Source organism: Homo sapiens, chromosome 9 (assembly GCF_000001405.40).
Source record: "Homo sapiens chromosome 9, GRCh38.p14 Primary Assembly".
Classification (NCBI taxonomy): Eukaryota; Metazoa; Chordata; class Mammalia; order Primates; family Hominidae; genus Homo; species Homo sapiens.
Genome location: NC_000009.12, coordinates 83312434 through 83332632, shown reverse-complemented (window position 1 = coordinate 83332632; position 20199 = coordinate 83312434). Strand labels below are relative to the sequence as shown.

The following is a 20199-nucleotide window of genomic DNA, read 5'->3' as shown; positions in this document are numbered from 1 at the left end:
GTTTACCTCAGGAGGGGGTGGTTTCACAACCTTCTCCCAGCCTTTTTATTGATTAGGATTATTCTGCTCCTGTGATCTCTGAGAGAGGAAAAAAAGTCACCATTCTTGGCAGAAAATTAATGAGAGAGAAAAAAGAAATTTCCTCTCTGGGAGGCTACAGACTGCTTGAAGGTGGGACCAAGATGGCCTGATAGATAGGCAAGAATAACAGAGTTCTTTGGGGGATGGTGGGGGGAGAGAGAGAGAGAGAGAGAAAGAGAGAGAGAGAGACTGACTCTTCCTTGGAGTTTTAAGAAGACCAAGATTTTAAGAAGAATTTTCATGAACTAAATTAGATTGATGACTGAAGGTAAAAGTTCATGCTTGGATCAATGTTTCTTCTTCTGAGTCCTTCACTGTACTGGAGGATAGGGAGAAGCAACAGTCTTGCAAATATAGTAGCATGTTATAGTTATCGATCATCTCTATTTCAGTCAAGATCAGTTAGATTTTGCTGAGGAAACAAACACCCAATGCTCAGTGGCTTAGAGCAAGAAAGGCTTCTTCTTGACTCTGCTCTGTGCCCACCAGAGGCCAGCTGGGGGGCTCCGCCCACCATTGTCACTCAGGGAAGTCAGAAACTTGGATTTGCCAGATGTTGAGCCACAAGGAAAAGAGCCCTGGAAGGTCATGCTTCATTTCGGAAGTGATTCATAGCACTTCTGCTTACAACTCTCTGATCAGGACTCATCCCAAGATCTTACCCAGGATCAAGGAAATGCAATTCTATGGTGTTCAGAAGGTAATAGGAGCTGGAAACAGTGGGCACCCAGCCCTTAATGGCCCTCACAACTCATTGACTAATAGAGTTGTTTTTCTTTTTTTAATAGACTTTATTTTTTAAAAGAGATGTTTAGGTTTACAGCAAAATTGAAAGGAAGGCACAGAGATTTCCTCTATACCCCTTTCCCACACATGCATAGCCTCCCTCATTATCAATATCCTTCCTAGAGTGGTACATGTATTACAACCGATGAGCCTACATTGATACATTATAATCACTCATAGTTGATAGTTTACATTAGAGTTCACTCTTGGTGTACACTCTATGGGTTTGATGAATGTATAGTATCATTCCATTGCAATACCAATACCATTATAGTATCATACAGAGTAGTTTCCCTGTCCTAAAAATCATCCCTCCTTCTCCCCTAACCCCTGGCAACCGCTGATCTTTTTACTGTCTCTATAGCTTTTGCCTTACCCAGAATGTCATAGTTGGAATCATACAATGTGTAGTCTTTTCAGATTGGCTTCTTTCACTCAGTAATATGCATTTAAGTTTCCTCCATGTCTTTTCTTGGTTTAAGAGCTCATTTCCTTTTGGCATAAAATAATATTCCATTGTCTGTATGTATCATAATTTATCCATTTACCTGCTGAAAGACATCTTGGTTGCTTCCAAGTTTGAGCAATTATGAATAAGGCTGCTATAAATAACTGTGTGTAGGTTTTTGTGTAGACATAAGTTTTCAACTCATTTGGGTAAATACCAAACACCATGATTGCTCTATCATATGGTAAGAGTATGTTTAGTTTTATAAGAAACCACCACACTATTTTCCAAAGTGGCTGTAGCATTTCGCATTCCCACCAGCAGGGAATGAGAGTTCCTGTTGCTCCACATCCTTGCCAACATTTGGTGTTGTTAGTGTTCTGGATTTTGGTCATTCTAGCTAATAGAGTTGCATTTAGAAAGATTTTTATACAGGCATCTTTGGGCCTTTTAATATCATGTGAACTAGATGATATGGAGATGTGTCACTTACATAACCCACTGAGCCGAATGATTCTTCTAGGTAAGGGCTAGTTAAATATTTTTGGCTTTCTGGGTCATACGGTCTCTAGTGCAGTGACTCAGCTCTGTTTTGGTAAAGCAAAAGCAGATATAGACAATTCTTAAATGAGTGGGCCATGATTCAATAAAACTTTATTGACAACACAGGTGGCAGGCCACATTTGGCCTATGGGTCCTAGCTTGCTGACTCCTGTTCTAAACACATGGCAGACCAGGTATGGAATCAATTTCTACTTCACTCTCCTGCCTCTGTAGATAATTTTAAGTTATCAGGAGCCATATTTGTTTGTAAAACTATGTGTGAAAAATAATCTCTTGTAATTTTCAGACTTTAAGCTTGGTGTGCAGAGATGAGGACTGATTTAGAAATAGGTTATTCCTCCCTCTAGAGCCCTCTGGTGACTGGAGGAAGCCATTGCTGCAACCCCTGAGGACTTGATGGTCCTCTGTTTTTTTTGTTTTTTTTTTTTTGAGATGGAGTTTTGCGCACCGCAACCTCCACCTCCTGGGTTCAAGCAATTCTCCTGCCTCAGCCTCCGGAGTAGCTGGGACTACAGGCATGCGCCACCCTGCCGGGCTAATTTTGTATTTTTGGTAAAGACGGGGTTTCTCCATGTTGGTCAGGCTGGTCTCAAACTCCCAACCTCAGGTGATCCACCCGCCTCTGCCTCCCAAAGTGCTGGGATTATAGGTGTGAGCCACCATGCCTCGCCAGTCCTCTGTTCTTTTTGTCCCTCTTGGTTTCTGTTTTCCACAGCTTTAATCAAAGCCACCTGGGGTAAGAGGAAATACCCATTCCGTTAGTCCTGAGGGTGCTCGGAAGGGGTTTAAGATCAAGAATAAGATTGCTTTTACCATAAAGAACCCTGATAGACTTTGCTGGAGGTATTTCCTAGAGTTTCTACTCAGCTAGTCTTTTCTTCCTCTCATCACCAGTTCATCAGGTTTGTCATTAGAGACAGAGACATTTGCATTAACTTCAGTCATAGGTCATCAGCTTTTAAATATTCAAAAGGCTCAATTGGCAGTAAAGCAGTTTTGATGAAGTATATTCCTTGCCCTTGAAGAGCAGGAAAATCATCCAACTAGCCACACTATAATGATCCGGGGCAGTGAGGTTTGTGCTAGAAGCAAGAATGACACAGTGTGTTTTTTAAACAGAGTAATTATCTCTATTTCTTAAAGGTTATATTCTCTGTAAATCATGCGCCATGGCTATAGTTTAAAAAAATGGAGTTATCATTTTAAAAACGTCTAGGTTTCTAGAAACAAATACCCTGACATGAAAAATATCCTCTACCTTTGCTTCTGATGAATAGATCACAAGGGCCCTCTTAAGAAATGTTTTTGTCAGTTTTGAGAAGTGTGTTTATTGTGTAAAAAGAAGACAAGAAATAAATGTCTGGTTATTTTACAACCCCAATCTTTCTTAAGATGAGTTTTCTCTTTGTCATCGATCTCTCTCCCTGTATCATTTCCCTTCCCAAGTCCCTTCCAAACTCATAGAATCTCTCTCCCTGGTAGATTATCAAATCAATTTGCATTTTTTGTTGCTATTTGGTATAGCACCTTTCTTAGGAAGGGGGAAGATGGGATGATTTGGGATCAAATGCGTTCACTGTAAAAATGAAGTCCTGGCATTTTGTGGCCTAGGGTAAAGGACATTTCTAGGGAGGGATGGGCTGGGGCAAGTGGTGTGCATGTCCAAGCCATTCATGTTTTTTATACAGGTGAAATCTAGCTACGATGACCTTAAGGGGGAAAAAGCAATGTTACCAAAGTGCAATGTGGCCATGAAGAAGGAGAGAGGGTTATATTATTGAAAGTAGGAGTCAGCCATTACTTAATACATTGTCTGATTATATCTCACATGTGATTCTAACTTATGCATAGAGCTAAAGATTCTTTGAACTTTCAATGAGACTATAACAGTGAATTTATCCAGAGGATATTTATCCATCCTTCTATCCATTTATATTTCATCCATCCATCCATGCATCTTTCCATCCATCCATTCATACCACTAATATTTATCGAAGAGCAGCCTTTTGTGGGGCACTGTAGTAGTGTGGGATGGCCTAGCCCAGATTTTCGGCCATTTCATCCCCAAGCTGGGGTCTCCTTCATCATCCACACTCCCCTATGACCTCATGGTTTGAAAGATTTTATCTACAAAATAATTCATGAAGCAACAATTAATTTGCCTCCTAATTTTTATTAGTCAAAGACAGTTTTGACTATCATTTAGCGCCTTCGACTATCAAGAGGTCACTAGCCAACAGCAAAGAAATTTGACAGCCAATTTCTATGCTTAAGGGATCCTTGGAGTCCAAAGCAGTAGTTATAAAATGACAGTCCTTGGACTACACTGTGACCCAGATGTATGTAGTTTGAGCCAAATAATAGCTGTAAAAAATGGAACCAGTTGCCATAAAGTTCTGGCTTCAGTTGCGACTGGGGTTTTGGTCACATGGCTCCCTGACTTCTGTGTGGCAACACTCAGCAGCAGTGCCTCTTTAAAAGAATCCTTTGTCTCTGAATTGCCACCATCCCTGCTCTGCCAACTTACCTTCTCCTTCCATTGAGTTTGCAGCCACCATTTTTTTTTTTTTTTACAGATAAGGAAACAGAGTTCTGAGAAATTAACTTATCCAAGGCTACACAATTATGAAGCAATAGAACTTGACCTGAAATTTGAGTTTCCGTGCATTGTGCACTAATATCTTTCTAAGTTGCTGCTCTCCTATAAGCCTTGTCCCTGCATGGCCCCAGGGTGTTACCACTGTCTCTTTCATAGCGTGGCAGCTGTCCAAATTTGCAGCATTTTATCTAATGCTCTGCATAAAGATGGCTCCTAAAAGGATTTGCGAGAGATAATGTCCCTCTCTAAGTGAAAGATTGGAAATGACAGACTGGGAACTCTCATTTCCTTTCCATTTAGGATGTAGAAAGGCATGAGATATTGATCTCTCCTAACACCAAAATAACACCAACAAGCTGGCTAAATTACAAAATCATATTTTTTGAACCCATCTGAGAGCTGAAGATGCAAATCGATCTGAATGTATTAAAATCCAGAATGTCTTTCTTAGGAGAGTGGAAACGCATAGCTGCTTTCACTTCTGGTGGAGTGACAGGAAGAGAAGGATTACACCCTAGGTCAGGGCTAAGGGCAACTAGGCAAACTTTTAACCAGCATGAGAGCTGAGTGAAATCCCCTAGAGGCACTCCAGACCTTCAGCCTGGGTGGGGAAGCCCTTGCTGACGGCAGGAGGCAGGATGACAGGGAGGAGAAAAGTCTTCTAAAGTCCAGAGAGCCAGGGATGACACTGAAGAGCAAAGGAATCTCTCTCCAGCCCACATTCCACATGAATGCTATAAAGCATAGACAGCTCCCTGCAGTCGCTGAGTGCTAAAGTCCCAAGCCCTGCTGAAGGGCAAGTCTTGAGAGCACTCCCAAACATTTGAAGCCAGTGGTGTGGAAAATCTTTTATTCCAACAAAGCTAAATCTAAGTAAAGTTGCAACCAAGTTGCAGCAAAATGTAATCTAAGCCAAATTGAGAATTCTGTTTTTCAGAAGTAGAAGACCATTATGTTGGTCTTCTACACCATTACATTGCTCTTCTGCCCATAGGTTTCATTCTAGAGCTCCTAGGCTCAGATGGGTCAGAGGGAACCAGAACCACTCCCTTCCCTGCCAACTGTGTTCCAAGCAGTCCAGCTCATTGCTGGCAAGATCCACATCTTATTCCACAATTAATGTCCACTAATAATTGACATTTATTCCTGGGATGCTATCTGGTTTTGTACTGTATGTAATGGTATGCTAAAGGAGGATCAATAAAAGGGAAATTGTTCCTTTTTGTCTAAAAGTACTCAAAACTGGCAGAAGGGAGACATACAGCTAAATACACAATTACTTGACCTCATCTAATATATTAGAAAAGCCTATCTTTGGAGAATTGTTAGCTCTTTGAAAAGAAGTCAACTAATCACTGGTCTTTACCTTTAAATGTCTCATTAGAGACACTATTAATCTGAGTGGAACATTTCCTGATGCAATATTTGACGGACAGAAAATCATTATTTTCCATTACCAGAATTTTTGCCAGAAACAGATGCCCAGTGGGAGATTCAAGGAAAAAACCCCAACCTTTCTATTTAATTGATCTTAGTATCTTCCTGAAAAAATGGATCATTAAATGGTTTCTTCCTTGGTGAGTCTGGGCCTCAGGAGTCTCCAGTCCTATCAGGGTCCCTGCCTTTTCTCCTTTGGTTTTGATCTTTTTGCCTTCTCTGAGCATTTGCAGTTAGTTTTTCCCTGTGTATGACATTTTCAATTAAGTCTTTTAAATGCTTAGCCAGTGGAGATCTGAGGTTAAGCCCAAAGCAAATGATGCTTACTTGAGAATTATTTTAAAGATGGGCCTTTGGTTTGTTGTAAATATCTCGACATCCTGCTTGACATTCCCCTCAGCACAGTATTTCTGACTTCAGCCATATGTAGGGCTAGCAAGGGAGCACATGGTAGTCTGAGGGCAAGGACAGAACATACTGTGTGTTAAGCACTAGTGTAACAGATTCACATCTGTTACCTGCTTAATCTTTGCATCAAATCTTGGAGGTAGGTACTCTTTTTACAGAAACACCTTCATTTTTTAGAATCAAATAGACATGGCTTCCTGTGGTTTCACGTTCCTGTGTTCTGGACCCAGATCAGGGTTCAGAAAACCATTTTTTATACCCGGTCAACTAGCAAATATTTTAGGCTTTGTAGAACATACAGTCTTCATTGCAACTACTACTGTTGTAGCATGACAGCATGTGTAGACAATATGCAGATAAGTGGGTGTGATGATGTTCCAATAAAACTTTATTTATAGACACTGAAATTTGAATGTCATGTAATTGTCATGAGTCATGAAGTATTATTCTTTTGATTTATTTGAACTATGTAAGAATGTAAAACCCATTCTTAGTTTGAGGGCTGTACAAAATCAGGCGGCAGGCAGTCCAGATTTGGCCTGCAGGTTTTAGTTTCAGATTAAAATGGAGATATCACTATTCTCTAATCGGATCTGAGTATCAGTTACCTGGAGTGAATTGCCTTATCATTGATAAATGGCAATGTTTAGAATTTGAAAAAGTTGCAATTTAAATGAATTTTTTAGGTGGGTTGCAGTGGCTTACCCCTGTAATCTTTGCACTTTGGGAGGCTGAGGTGGGAGGATCACTTGAGCCCAGGAGTTCGAGACCAGCGTGGGCAACATGGTGAAATCCTGTCTCTACAAAAAATACAAAAATTAGCCAGATGTAGTGGCATGCTCCTGTAGTCCTAGCTATAGGAGGCTGAGGTGGGAGGATCACTTGATTCTGGGAGGTCGAGGCTGCAGTGAACTGAGATCGCATCACTGCACTCCAGCCTGGGCGATAGAGTGAGACCCTGCCTCAAATAAACGAATTAAATAAATAAATAAATTTAAAAATAGATTTATCAAGTATAAGTGTCATTTTGTTACATAGATATATTGCATAGTGGTGAAGTGTGGGCTTTTAGCGTAACCATCACTGGAATAGTGTACATTGTACCCATGAAGTAATTTCTCATCCCTCACCCGCTCCCACTCTGTCACCCTCTGAGTCTCCAGTGTCTATTATTCCACACTCTATGTCCATGTGACACATTATTTAGCTTCCACTTATCAATGAGAAGATGTAGTATTTGACTTTGTTTCTGTGTTATTAATGGCCTCCAGTTCCATCTGCCTTGCTTTTTTAAAACATAAAAGGTGGATAGAAATCATGTCATTTTGAAATGCTGTGCCATGGCACGCAGGAGAGCAGGCAGATGGCTCTTGACCATAAGATATTGGTGATGATGTTGGTACCAGCCCTGACAAGCACTTTAGAACCAGGTCAGCTTGCATTTGCATCCTGCGTTTGCCCATACATGACTAGTGAGGGCAAATGCCAATTGACCTTGAGCAATAATCTTGAGCAAGTTATTTTTCTCTTTGAATGTCAGAACTCTCATCCACAAAAGGGAAGATAAAGATTCCAAGTTTCTGAATAAGGGAAAAAATATGTATATGCCTGGCAATATAAAAAATGTTATGCTGCTTGGAATTGTGGAGTTTAGTACAAGATAGCTCTGCATATGTATCTATTATCCTCTTGATCAATAAATACCCTTTAGTTTGGGGGTCCTTGTGGACTGCGTAATATTTCATCCAATGATTTCTTTATTAAAAAGGCAGAAATTGTGTGTCTTTTCATCATTACAAAATGTATAATATGTAAAAGAGCATTTTCAGAGTATATACAATATGTGTGGGATTTAAAGAATAATTGAAAAAACATCCATGATCCCCTAACATTGCTTGTGAATGAGAACATCACCAGCTGTTCTGAAGTCTCCTATGTGCCCCTCCCAGACCACCTCCCTCTCTCCTCCCATAGGTACACTTTTCTGAATTTTGGGTTGCTTATTCTCTTGTTTTGCTTTTATAAATTTACTTTATACATATGTATTAGTCAATGATGTATTGCTTCAGTTTTGCCTATTTTCACTTTCATATAAATGGACTCATACTGTATTCTCGTGTCTCATTTCTTCCCTAGCAACATTGTATTTATGAGATTCTTCCACAGTGATACATACAGCCATAGGTCTTTATTTTCACTTCTGTGTAATTAATTTTCTATCATATGAACTTCCCATGTTTTATGTATCCATTCTCCTGTTGATGAACATTTGGGTTGCTTCCAGGTTTTTGCTATTGCAGACAGAGTTACTATGGCTTCTTAAATAATTCTCCTAAGGTACATGTACAGGACTCCCTAGTGTAAGTACAAGCCTAAGTGTGGAACTTGCCAGAGTTTGTACTTTAACTTTTCTAGGAAATGGCAGTTAGGTTGCTCTACCTTATGTTCACACCAACAATAGGTGAGAGTTCCCAGGGTTTCCAGTGACTTTTAACACATTAGTTTTGCTTTGCTCATTTTTGAAAGCCATAGAAATAGAATCATACAGTGTATATCCATTTATATCTGGTATTTTAGCCTGTTTTTTCTTGCTATAACTGAATACCAGAGGCTAGGTAATTTATAAAGAAAAGAAATTTATTTTTTACAGTTCTGGAGGCGTGGAAGTTTAAGGTCTGGGGACTGCATCTGGTGAGGGCCTTCATGCTGGTGGGGCTCTCTGCAGAGTCCTGAAGTGGTGCAAGGCAGCACATGAAGAGGGCATGAGCACGGCAAACTGAATATATTCATGAAGGCAAAACCCTCACGAAATCAATCACCTCTTAAAAGCCTCACCTCTTAATACTGTGACTTTGGGGATTAAGTTTCAACATGAGTTTTGGAGGGGACAAATATTTGAACTGTAGCATTTGGCTTCTTTTGTTCAATGTTATTTTTGTGATATTCATTCATCTCATAGCGTGTAGCTTTAAGTCAGCAATTTTCATGCCTGTATAGTATTCCATTGCCTATTCATTCTACTCTTGATAGACATTTGAGTTGTTTTCTAGTTTTTGCTATTACAAATAACACTACTATGAAAATTCTATCTATTTCTTGGTGCAACATGCACTAATTTCTGTTGTGTATATAACTATGAGTGGAATTGCTGTATTATAGGGTAAACATGTTCAACTTTAGTAGATAATGCCAAAGAGTTTTCCAGATTAGTTCCACCAAATTTCCACCAGAAGTACATGAGGGTTTCTTGTGCTGTACATTCTCACCAGTGCTTGCTTTTGTTAGTCTTTTTAACTGTAGCTACCAGATGGAGATGTTAGTGGTTTCTCATAGTTTTAATTTGCATTTACTGATAGCATAGAACATAGCTGACTAGATATAGGAGTATGTGCCTCCTTCACAGAGAGGAACCAGAGTAATAAGTAGATATATTTCAAACAGCTAGTCTAGGAGAGACTTCTGGGATTCACCAGAGAGGAGATGGGAAGCACTTGAAGTAAGGAGAGGGTTCGAGGCAGCTTGCCCAGCTGGGAACTGACTAATAGTCAGGAGAGGTTCCTGGGCATGGAGAAACAGTAAGAGAGAAACCTCCAGGGATCAGCTTTTATGATCTTGTGTATGAGAGAAACTCTTGACCCATTAGGGCCTAGGGCCTGACATGTGGAACTGCCTAAAGATTGCACATTCCTCTAGAAAGAGAACCCACATGGAATCCCACAGGCATCCAAGCCTACAGTGGCCTCTGCTGGGCAACATTTTGAGAGCCTAGATACTGGAGAGCTACAGACATGGTTGCTGCTGCAGAGCTGCTGCAAGGAGGGGAGAGGAGAATGGGTGCTCCTACATACCCCTAGGAGGATCCCTACTGCCTTGTTGTGAGCTGCTGTTGAGACTGAGATGTGAGTGGGCTGCACTCTCCACAGCTTCTCGTCCACACTGCTTGCCTGGGAGAGATCCCACCCTCCCTGTTCCTAGGCCCAAGGCATCATTTTGAGAGTTTAATGATGGACTGCCATTTGACCTTGGACTGTTTGGGTTGATGTGGTTGCAGTTGCCACCTGGCCAAGGAGGAACAGGGAAGCCAGGCTCTCCTACCATATATAGGACAATGCCCACTGCCCTGCAATGGGCTGCTGTGAGACTGAGATGTGAGTGGACATCCACATCTTCTTGTCCATACTTCCTGCCTGGGAAGGGCCCTGGTCTCCCTGGTCATAAGTCTTAGGTGTCATTTTAGAGAGTTTAACACTAGGCTGCACTCCACCGTGGGCCGAGTTCAAGTTGTCATGGCTGCAACCATGTCCAGTTGAGGAGGGACAAGGAAACTAGGCTCTCTTTTGCATACCCAGGACAATACCCACTGCTCTGCTAGGGGCTGCTGTGAGATAAAGACTCAAGTGAACTGACACTCAAGAGGATATAACAATTCTAGATATATATGCACCCAAAATCAGTGCACCCCCATTCAAAAAACAGATATTACTAGACCTAAAGAAAGAGACAGACAGAAATACAACAATAGTGGGAAGTTCAACACCCCACTCACAGTACTAGACAGATCATCAAGACAGAATATTAACAAAGAAACTTTGAACTGAAGTTGGACTTTAGACCATGTAGACTTAGACATTTACAGAATGTTCTACCCAATAGCTACAGAAAATACATTCTTTTCATCAGTACATGGAAAAAATCTCCAAGATAGACCATATAGTAGGCCACAGAAAATGTCTTAACAAATTTTTTAAAAATTGAAATTGTATTAAATATCTTCCCAGACCACAGCAGAATAAAGCTAGAAATCACTGCCAAGAGGAATGCTTGAAACTGTACAATACATATAAATTAAACGGCATGCTCCTGAATGATCACTGGATGAATAAGGAAATTAAGACAAATTTAAAAACTTTTTGAAATTAATGAAAATGAAAACACAATGTAACAAAACCTGTGGAATACAGCAAAAGCATTGCTAAGAGGGAAATTTATAGCATTAAACGCCTACATCAAAAAAGTAGAAAGATCACAAAATAACCTAACATTGTACTTGAAGTAACTAGAAAGACAAGAACAAACTAAACACACACTTAGCAGAAGAAAAGAAATAACAAAGATCAGAGCAGAACGAAATGGAGATAAAAAATTACAAAAGATCAACCAAACAAAAAGTTGGTTCTTTTGTTTTGAAAAAAGATAAACAGAATTGATAAACCATTATCTAGACTAACCAAGAAAAGGAGAAGATCCAAATAACACAATCAGAAGTGAAAAAGGAGACATTACAACTGATACCACAGAAATACAAAAGATCATCAGAGACTATTATGAACAGCTATATACTCACAAACCAGAAAACCTAGAGGAAATGTATAAATTCCAGCCTCACAAGATTGAACCAGGAAGAAATAAAACTTCTGAACTGACCAATAATGAGTAGTGAGACTGAGTCAGTAATAAAAAAATCTCTCAGCAACAACAACAACAAAACAACAAAACAACATCCATCCAGGATCAGATGGATTCACAGCTGAATTCTAGAGAACATGCAAAGAAGAACTAATACCAATCTTCCTGAAACTGTTCTAAAAAATAGAAGATGAGAGAGTTCTCCTTAACTCATTCTGCAAGGCCAGTATCACCCTGATACCCAAAACAGAGAAAGACACAACAAAAAAGAAAATTACAGATCAATATCCCTGATGAACATAAATGCAAAAATCTTCAGCAAAATACTAGCAAATCAGCAAATTTTATTTGCTGAAAATTGTATTTTCAGCAAATAAAAAGAAAATACACCATGATCAGGTGGGATTTATCCCAGGGATGCAATGATTGTTCAATATACATAAATCCATAAATGTGATACATCACATACAGAATTAAGGACAAAAACCACATGATCACCTCAATAGATGAAGAAAAAGTGTTTAATAAACTTCAGCATCTCTTCATGAGAAAATCCTCAACAACCCAGACATAGAAGGAACATATCTTAATATAGTCAAGGCAATATATGACAAACCCACAGCCAACATCATATTTAACAGGATAAAGTTCAAAGCATTCCCTCTGAGAACGGGAACAAGACAAAGATGCCCACTTTCATCACTCTTTTTCAACATAGTACTGGAAGTCCTTGCTAGAGCAATCAGACTAGAGAAAAAAAAAGACATCCAAGTTGGAAAAAAGGAAGTCAAATTTTCCCTGTTTGCTGATGGTATGGTTTCTATCTAGAAAACCCTAAAATCGCTACCAAAAGATTCTTAGATTTAATAAATGAATTCAGTAAAGTTTTGGAATACAAGATATATATGCAGAAATCGGTAGTATTATTATACATTGTATTAGTCAATTTTCACACTGCTGATAAAGACATATCCAAGACTGGGCAATTTACAAAAGAAAGAAGTTTATTTGATTTACAGTTCTACATGGCTTGGGAGGCCTCACAATTATGGTGGAAGGCAAGGAGGAGCAAGTCACATCTTACATGGATGGCAGCAGGCAAAGAGAGAGCTTGTGCAGAGAAACTCTCATTTTTAAAACCATTGGATCTCATGTGACCCATTCACTATCAAGAGAACAGCAAGGGAAAGACCCACCCCATGATTCAATCATCTCCCACTGGGTTGCTCCCACAACACATGGTCACTTGAGGTCAGGAGTTCAAGACCAGCATGGCCAACATGGTGAAACCCCATCTCTACTAAAAGTACAAAAATTAGCTGGACCTGGTGGCACATGCCTGTAATCCCAGCTACTCAGGAGGCTGAGGCAGGAGAATCCCTTGAACCTGGGAGGCAGAGGTTGCAGTGAGCCAAGATCATGCCACTGCATTTCAGCCTGGGTGACAGAGCAAGACTCCATTTAAATAAATAAATAAATAATCCTGGGAAAATTGATAGCTGCATGCAGAAGAGTGAAACTGGACCCATACATCTCACCATAAACAAAAATTAACTCAAGATGGATTAAAGACCTAAACATAAGACCTTGAACTATAAAAATCCTAGAAGAAAACCTAGGAAAAACTCTTCTGGACATTCACCAAAGAATTTGTGACCAATTCCTCAAATTAAAATGCAACAAAACAAAAATAGGCAAATGGGACTTAATTAAACTAAAATGCAGCAAAACAAAAATAGGCAAATGAGACATAATTAAACTAAAAAGCTTCTGCACAGCAAAAGAAATAATTAACAGAGTAAACAGACAACCTACAGAATGGGAAAAATACTTGCAAACTATGGGTCTGACAAAGGGCTAATATCTGGAATTTACATGGAACTCAAACAACTCAACAAGAAAAAAAACAACCCCCCTTAAAAAATGAGCAAAGAACATTGAAGGCCATTTTTCAAAAGAAGACATCCAAGTGGCCAAGAAACATGAAAAAAATGTTCAACATCACTAAACATCAGAGAAATGCAAATTAAAACCACAATGAGAGACCATCTTACACCAGTCAGAAAGACTATTACTAAAAAGTCAAAAAACAACAGATGTTGTCAAGGATGCAGAGAAAAGAAAACACTTATAACTGTTGGTAGGAATGTAAATTAAAACAACTTTTTGGGGGAACAGTGTGGAGATTTCTTAAAGAACTAAAAATAGAACTACTATTTGATCCAGCAATCTCACTATTTTCCCTTTGTGTATATATATCTACCCAAAGGAAAATAAATCATCATATCAAAGAGATACCGGCACTCATATGTTTATTACAGCACTATTCACCATGGCAAATATATGGAATCAGCTAAGTGTCCATCAATGGAGAACTGGACAAGGAAAATGTGATATATATATATACACACACACACACACATATTATATATAATATATATAGCATGGAATACTATTGAACCATAAAAGGAATGAGATCATGTCTTTTGCAGTAACATGGATAGAAGCAGAGGCTATTATCCTTAGTGAAATAACTCAGAAACAGAAAAGGCAAATACTGCATGTTCTCATTTATAAGTTGGAACTAAACAATGAAGACGCATGGGCATATAGAGGAGAGTAATAGACATTGGAAAGTACAAGATATGGGATGGTGGGAGGAGGTGAGGGTTACAGTGTTCACTATTTGGGTGATAGTTGCACTAAAAGCCCAGACTTTAACACTATGGAATATATGCACATAGGAAATCTGCACTTGTACCTCCTAAATATATAGAAAATAGACATTAAAAATTAAATAAAATAATTTACATTTTCTTGATCATAAGAAGCTAAGCACATTTTCATGTAGTTATTGGCTAGTTAGACGTCCTATTTGGTAAGTGCCTATTAAGTCTTTTGCTTATTGTGCAGAGGTTGGAGTCGTGGTTACTGGTTTTGAAACATATTTTGTTGCTCTTTATTGATTTACAGGAGTTTAAAAAATATTCCAGATAGGTGTCCTTTTTTGGTTGTACGTGTTGCTGACAGCTTTTCCCATACTGTAGCTTGCCTTTTTCCACCCTGGCTGGTATCTCCTGATGAACAGATGTCCTAGAGTTTAAGGGTGTGTCCTCAGGGGCTGTGTAGCACTGGTACCCTGCTGCCATCTGGGATTGGCTGTGATTGGAAATTAGATGCTCATCAGATTTAGGAAGGACAAGGAAGTGGTCAGAAAGAGACCACCTAGGCAAGGAAAAATTATTCACTTTTCAAAGTGAACATCCAAATGATAACCTTTCACAATTATCTTGTTCCTATATTGAAGAGGGTATGCTTTGAAAACAAACTTGAGTTTTATGAATAAATGACATGTAGCTTTTAGAAAGGTGGTGACAGTTCAATGAATAATGAGAATGGCTAGCTCTGTAGATCAGAGGAGTACTTATTAGTGGGTGGTAGAATGAGGGCCTTTCAAGTAAACTGGGAGGATCACCCCGAGCAAAGCTGATTGCCCAAGGCTATGGGAGGCACAGGGCTGCTTTGGCTCTGGTCCTGGTTCACTTTGGTCTTGGTCTGGGTCGTTAGGGTGAAGTTTTGCATTGAGGGCCAGAAGAGTGGGTTGCTGCTTAGTGACATGCTGGGTATTTTGACTGCTTTGTCCCTAGTTGGGAAGGTGAGATGAGTATACAAATGAGTGTGTGTGTGTGTGTGTGTGTGTGTGTGTGTGTATGCATGAGAGACGGCTCAATAATATGTGAATTCAATAAGTTTGTTTTCTGTATTTTTTTTTTAAGACAGGATCTTTCTTGCTCTGCCACCCAGGCTGAAGGACAGTGGCACGATCATAGTGCACAATATCTGGCTAATTTAAAAAAAAATTTTTTTAGAAGTGACCTTGCTACATTGCCAGGCTTGTTTTGAACTTCTGGGCTCAAGTGATCCTCCCACCTTAGCCTCCCAAAGTGTGGGGATAACAGGCATGAGCCACTGCACCAAGCCTGACTTCAATAATTTTCTGTATGGTTTATTTGTTGGTGGAGAGTAAGATATTACTTCAAGAACTTATGAGAGAGATGGAGAGAGAAATACCATATGGATTAAGAAAACCTTCCAGAGATCTCTTTTCCCATCCCTGTCAATATAGTTGTTAATTTTCCTGAGTCCATTGTTACTTTATCAAAAGGAAAAAATTATAATGACTGTGTCTTGAAAAGAAAAGAATCAAAGAAATGGCCCAAGATAGTAATTGCTGGATCGAAAGTGCCCACAAGTACTGATTGGGATGAATACATAAAGATATTCTCTATATACATATATCACAGTGAAATTTCAGAACACTAAAATGAATAAGGAAATCTTGAAAAGCTTTAGACTTTATTTTTCTAAAGCACAAATTTGACTTAATTCCTCAGGAGTATTCTGTAGATGGCTTTAAAAATGATCTTTTCTATTAAAAGAAAAAGGTGGCCAGGTGAAGTGGCTCATGCCTGCAATCCCAGCACTCTGGGAGGCTGAGGCAGGTGGATTGCTTGAGATCAGGACTTCAAGACTAGCCTGGCTAACATGTCGAAACCCCATCTCTACTAAAAACAAAAATTAGCTGGGTGTGGTGGCGGGCACCAGTAATCCCAGCTACTCCGGAGGTTGAGGCAGGAGAATCATTTGAACCTGGGAGGCAGAGGTTGCAGTGAGCTGAGATTGCACCACTGCACTCCAACCTGGGCAATAGAGTGAGACTCTGTCTCAAAAAAAAAAAAAAAGAAAAAAAAAAAAGAGAAAAAAGAATAAGGTGGCATATATGTCAATCTTCCTTTCCTTCACCGAGTCCTTATGGATAACAGGAAAAGCATTAGAAAAGGAATAGGAGAAAATATCATCTTTGGATCAGAAATCCTGCAACATCTGTGGAAGATAGGAAACAGAAGGGATCCAGGCCAGACACAGACTTAGAATAGCAGTGGTTCTGGGTTTCTGGGTGCCTCCAGGAATACACACAACAGCCATCACAGTGAGTGGGCAACTACATTTGAAGCAAGTGGACAACTTTGACCCCTCCCTCTGGTTGCTTTGTGCTGAGTCATGGGCAGCAGCAGGCTTGAGCGGAAGGTACCCGGTGTGCGTGCCTAGAACTAGAACCTTCGGCCCCCAGTCAAGTTACTGATACATGTTGTATTAGTTGTTCTTGCATTGCTATAAAGAACTACACAAGACTGGGTAATTAAGAGGTTTAATTGGCTCACAGTACCACAGGCTGAACAGGAAGCATGGCTGGAGAGTCCTCAGGAAACTTACAAACGTGGTGGAAGGCAAAGAGGAAGGAGGCACATCTTATGTGGCTGGAGCCTGAGGAAGAGAGAGCAGGGGGAGGTGCTACACACTTGTAAACAACCAGATCTTGTGAGGACTCACTATCCCGAGAACAGCAAGGGAGAAATCTGCCCCCATGATCCAATCACCTCCCGCCAGGCCCCTCCTCCAACGTTGGGGATTACAATTCGACATGAGATTTGGGTGGGGACACAAATCCAAATCATATCACATGCTGTTCCACACGGCACATCCCACTCTTCCCTCAACCTCTGGAGGCTGATACATCAAATATAAAAATGAGAGTCCAACAGGAATCACCAAACACTTAAGGAAACATCAGCTCCACAAATTACAGACTCTGAGTCAGCATACAAAATGACCTTCACCAAGAAAGCAGCATTAATGCAGCCAACAAGATTGGACCTTAATAGAAATGAAGTGGTACCCTCAGAGGGATAAGAGGAATTCATGATCATGAGCTGAGAACAGGCTGCTATTTGAAGATCCACATAGATATTACATTGGAAATGAAATATTTCATTGATATTTAAAAAAAAAACATATCAATGACAGAAGCAGCAGAATGTGCACAGCTGAAGAATAAATTAGCAGGCTGGACATTTGAATTAAGAAATAATTCAGAGCATAGTACCAAAAGACAGAGATATAAAGAATGAAACAAAGATTAAAAGACCTAGGACCTAGAAGTTTCAAGACCCATTTATTAGGGCCTCTCAAAGGAGATAAGAGAGAGAGTGGGAGAGAGAGAGAGTGGTGGAGGAAGTGGGGAAGGGAAGAAAAGAATCAAGAAATAGTCAAAGAAAGATATGCATTGTTGGATTAAAAGGATCTACACTGTGCGGATCATGATGAATAAATAAAGATGCTCCCTAGACATACCACAGTGACTTCAGACGTATCAGTGTAACTCCAGTGCACTAAAGGTAAAGAGATTGTGAAGGGCTCTAGGAATAAAGTAGATGGGATACTGTTTTGATTTAGAGGTATGATGACTCTTTGCTATCTTGAGGGGGTGGGGGGACAATCCGTCTTTGGGAAGGAAGTTAAGTGGAGATAGATTTAATATTGCAATATAATTTTACATTTTGAAAATAAAATGAATTCCTGTTGTTTTCTCTGCTTGGTTGCTAGAATTACATAAATATCCTTGGGGAATGATTGAGATTCTCTAAAATACATGTAGGATATTAATATTAGTCAAAGTGGGGTCTTTGAAATGTTGCATAGTCTTTCTTTAGATGTTAGCCCTGAAAGGGCTTCGCGGTCATCTATATTTGCAGCCCTTTTCTCCCTGAGGCCAAGACCTTGTTTACCACCTCGCAGGACAGTGCTAGGACTAGTGGTTGAGATTTCCTTTTGAAGTCCAGGGCTCTCTGTGGGATGGTTGACAATTCTTTTGGCCTTGATGGCTCTGTTTAGGCTTGTTGATGGGGTAACAGGATTGTGCATTTTTTTCCCTGAGCAAGAAGGCATGCCATTTAACCTGGATAATGTTTTTAAATTAGCAGAAAGAACAGATGATTAGTTTTATTTCGTATTAAGGTTGAATTTGCAAGGGCCTGCTTATTGGTAACTTGATAACCTTGATTAACTGTACGGATCACTGGAGCGCTCAGAGTGCGTGTGGGTTTGTTATGGAACAATTAACTAGAGAACACAAGCTCGGGTTCCTTAGTAAAGGACTCCTTGTGGTGAGAAATAATGATCAGTCTTACTGATTACTATTTATGTAAGGGTTTTTCTCTTTATTTAGCTTAGAACACCATACTTTATTGAATGAAGGGATTCCGAGTTTCTATTCTTTTCCATTTTAACTGCCTCAACTTTTCTTGTGTGATTTTAGGGGGCAGAGCCCACCAGTTGCTGAATTTAACTTGCTCCTGAAAGCTCACACTTTGGAAACCTACGGGGTGGATCCTCACCCATGCAAGGTAACTGCCCCTCACAGCAGGTCACCATATAATGGTTGTTTTGCCCAAAAGAGAGTTTATCTGTGCGCAGGCCTGGCAGAGCCTTGTTAAATCTTTCCCACAGCTTGGCCCACGGTCCCTCATTGGAAGGGACAACAGTGGGCTGCTGTTACATGTTTTGGCAGCTGATTTTCTCCATTGGAGTCTTCCAATTGTTCATTGATTGCCATGTAGTAGCCATATTTTCCTAAATTAACATCCATGGATTCACTCATCAAATGGATGGTTTGGCCCCTGAGGAGTTACAGGCTCCTGACACATTTACTTTCAAGGCCATTGCCAGCAAGAATGGAGTCTTTAAAAAATGGGAAAGTGGAAGGAAAAAAAAGAAAGATTTCAAGTTGCATTTTGGCATTAGGAACACTTGTTTTTATTTTTTCCTTTACTCATATTTGACAGTGTTTCTCTCAAGGATGAAACACAGACTACTTATATCAGAATCTCCTGGACCTCACCCCAGAGCTACTAAATCAGAATTCTGGGGGTACAACTGGGGAATCTGCCTTTTTAATCAAGCTCCCAAGGTGTGATACTTATAGATACATTTTCCAGAAATGTTTCACTGAAGCAACGTTCTTCTTTCCATATATTAGACTATGCATCAGCCAGACACTAGTCCTAATCCTAAACTAAGCATTTTATCAGTTAGGCTCTTAAGTATAAGTTTTGGAGTTTTAGTGGCAAATTTCTTTACCCAGATTGGACTGCCTAATCTTATTTGGCAAAGCATTAGTCCTATAGGTCTCAGCTTGGGCTGCTCATTAGAAACACCTGGAGAGCTTCATTAGCACCTGCTGACCAGAACACATCCCACACCAATTACGTCAGGATCTGCTGGGGAGGAGGGCGGGGCGGGGCGCAGGGCGGCGGAGGGGGAGTGGTGGGTGCGGCGACCAGGCTACCCAGGTGTTTCCAATGTGCAGCCAAGGCGGAGAGCCAGGGGTACTTGTCCATACTAGCATTTACATCCTCTTGTTCTGCCTACGCAAATGTTGGAATATTTACCAGCGGCTCTTTCCTAGAATGGTACTAATCAGTTTATTCATTTTAGTGAATTTTATGCAGAAATTTGAACTGTATTTTATTTATTTCTTGGAGACTGACTTGATCTTTGTGTTGTTATTCCTTTGCCTTCACTTATCTACAAGATGCTTAGTTTTCCTGGTCTAGGCTGGAAGCACAGTAAG

The 20199-nt window shown here is 40.0% G+C and overlaps 1 protein-coding gene across 11 annotated transcripts in view, besides 1 other annotated feature; it reads left to right on the top strand.

The window, feature by feature from the left end:
- The window catches only part of FRMD3 (FERM domain containing 3), a 342803-nt gene that overhangs the window by 253162 nt on the left and 69442 nt on the right, over positions 1 to 20199 (top strand). For 9 of the 11 annotated variants that reach the window (NM_001244959.2, XM_024447487.2, XM_047423155.1 and 6 more), the window contains one exon: positions 18886 to 18973. In NM_001244959.2, the coding sequence (NP_001231888.1) occupies positions 18886 to 18973 (88 nt within the window). Of the gene's footprint in view, positions 1 to 671; positions 782 to 18885; positions 18974 to 20199 lie in introns of those variants that run through there. The other 2 variants (NM_001244961.2, XM_017014589.2) reach the window with 1 other exon arrangement.
- Positions 7017 to 7186: an enhancer, noted in NCBI's record as "experimental_108296 CRE fragment used in MPRA reporter constructs". NCBI's record gives its function as "activates a minimal promoter by MPRAs in K562 erythroleukemia cells, with activity observed for the introgressed 9:85940447 variant allele {active_cell/tissue: K562}" and the evidence as "EXISTENCE:reporter gene assay evidence [ECO:0000049][PMID:34662402]".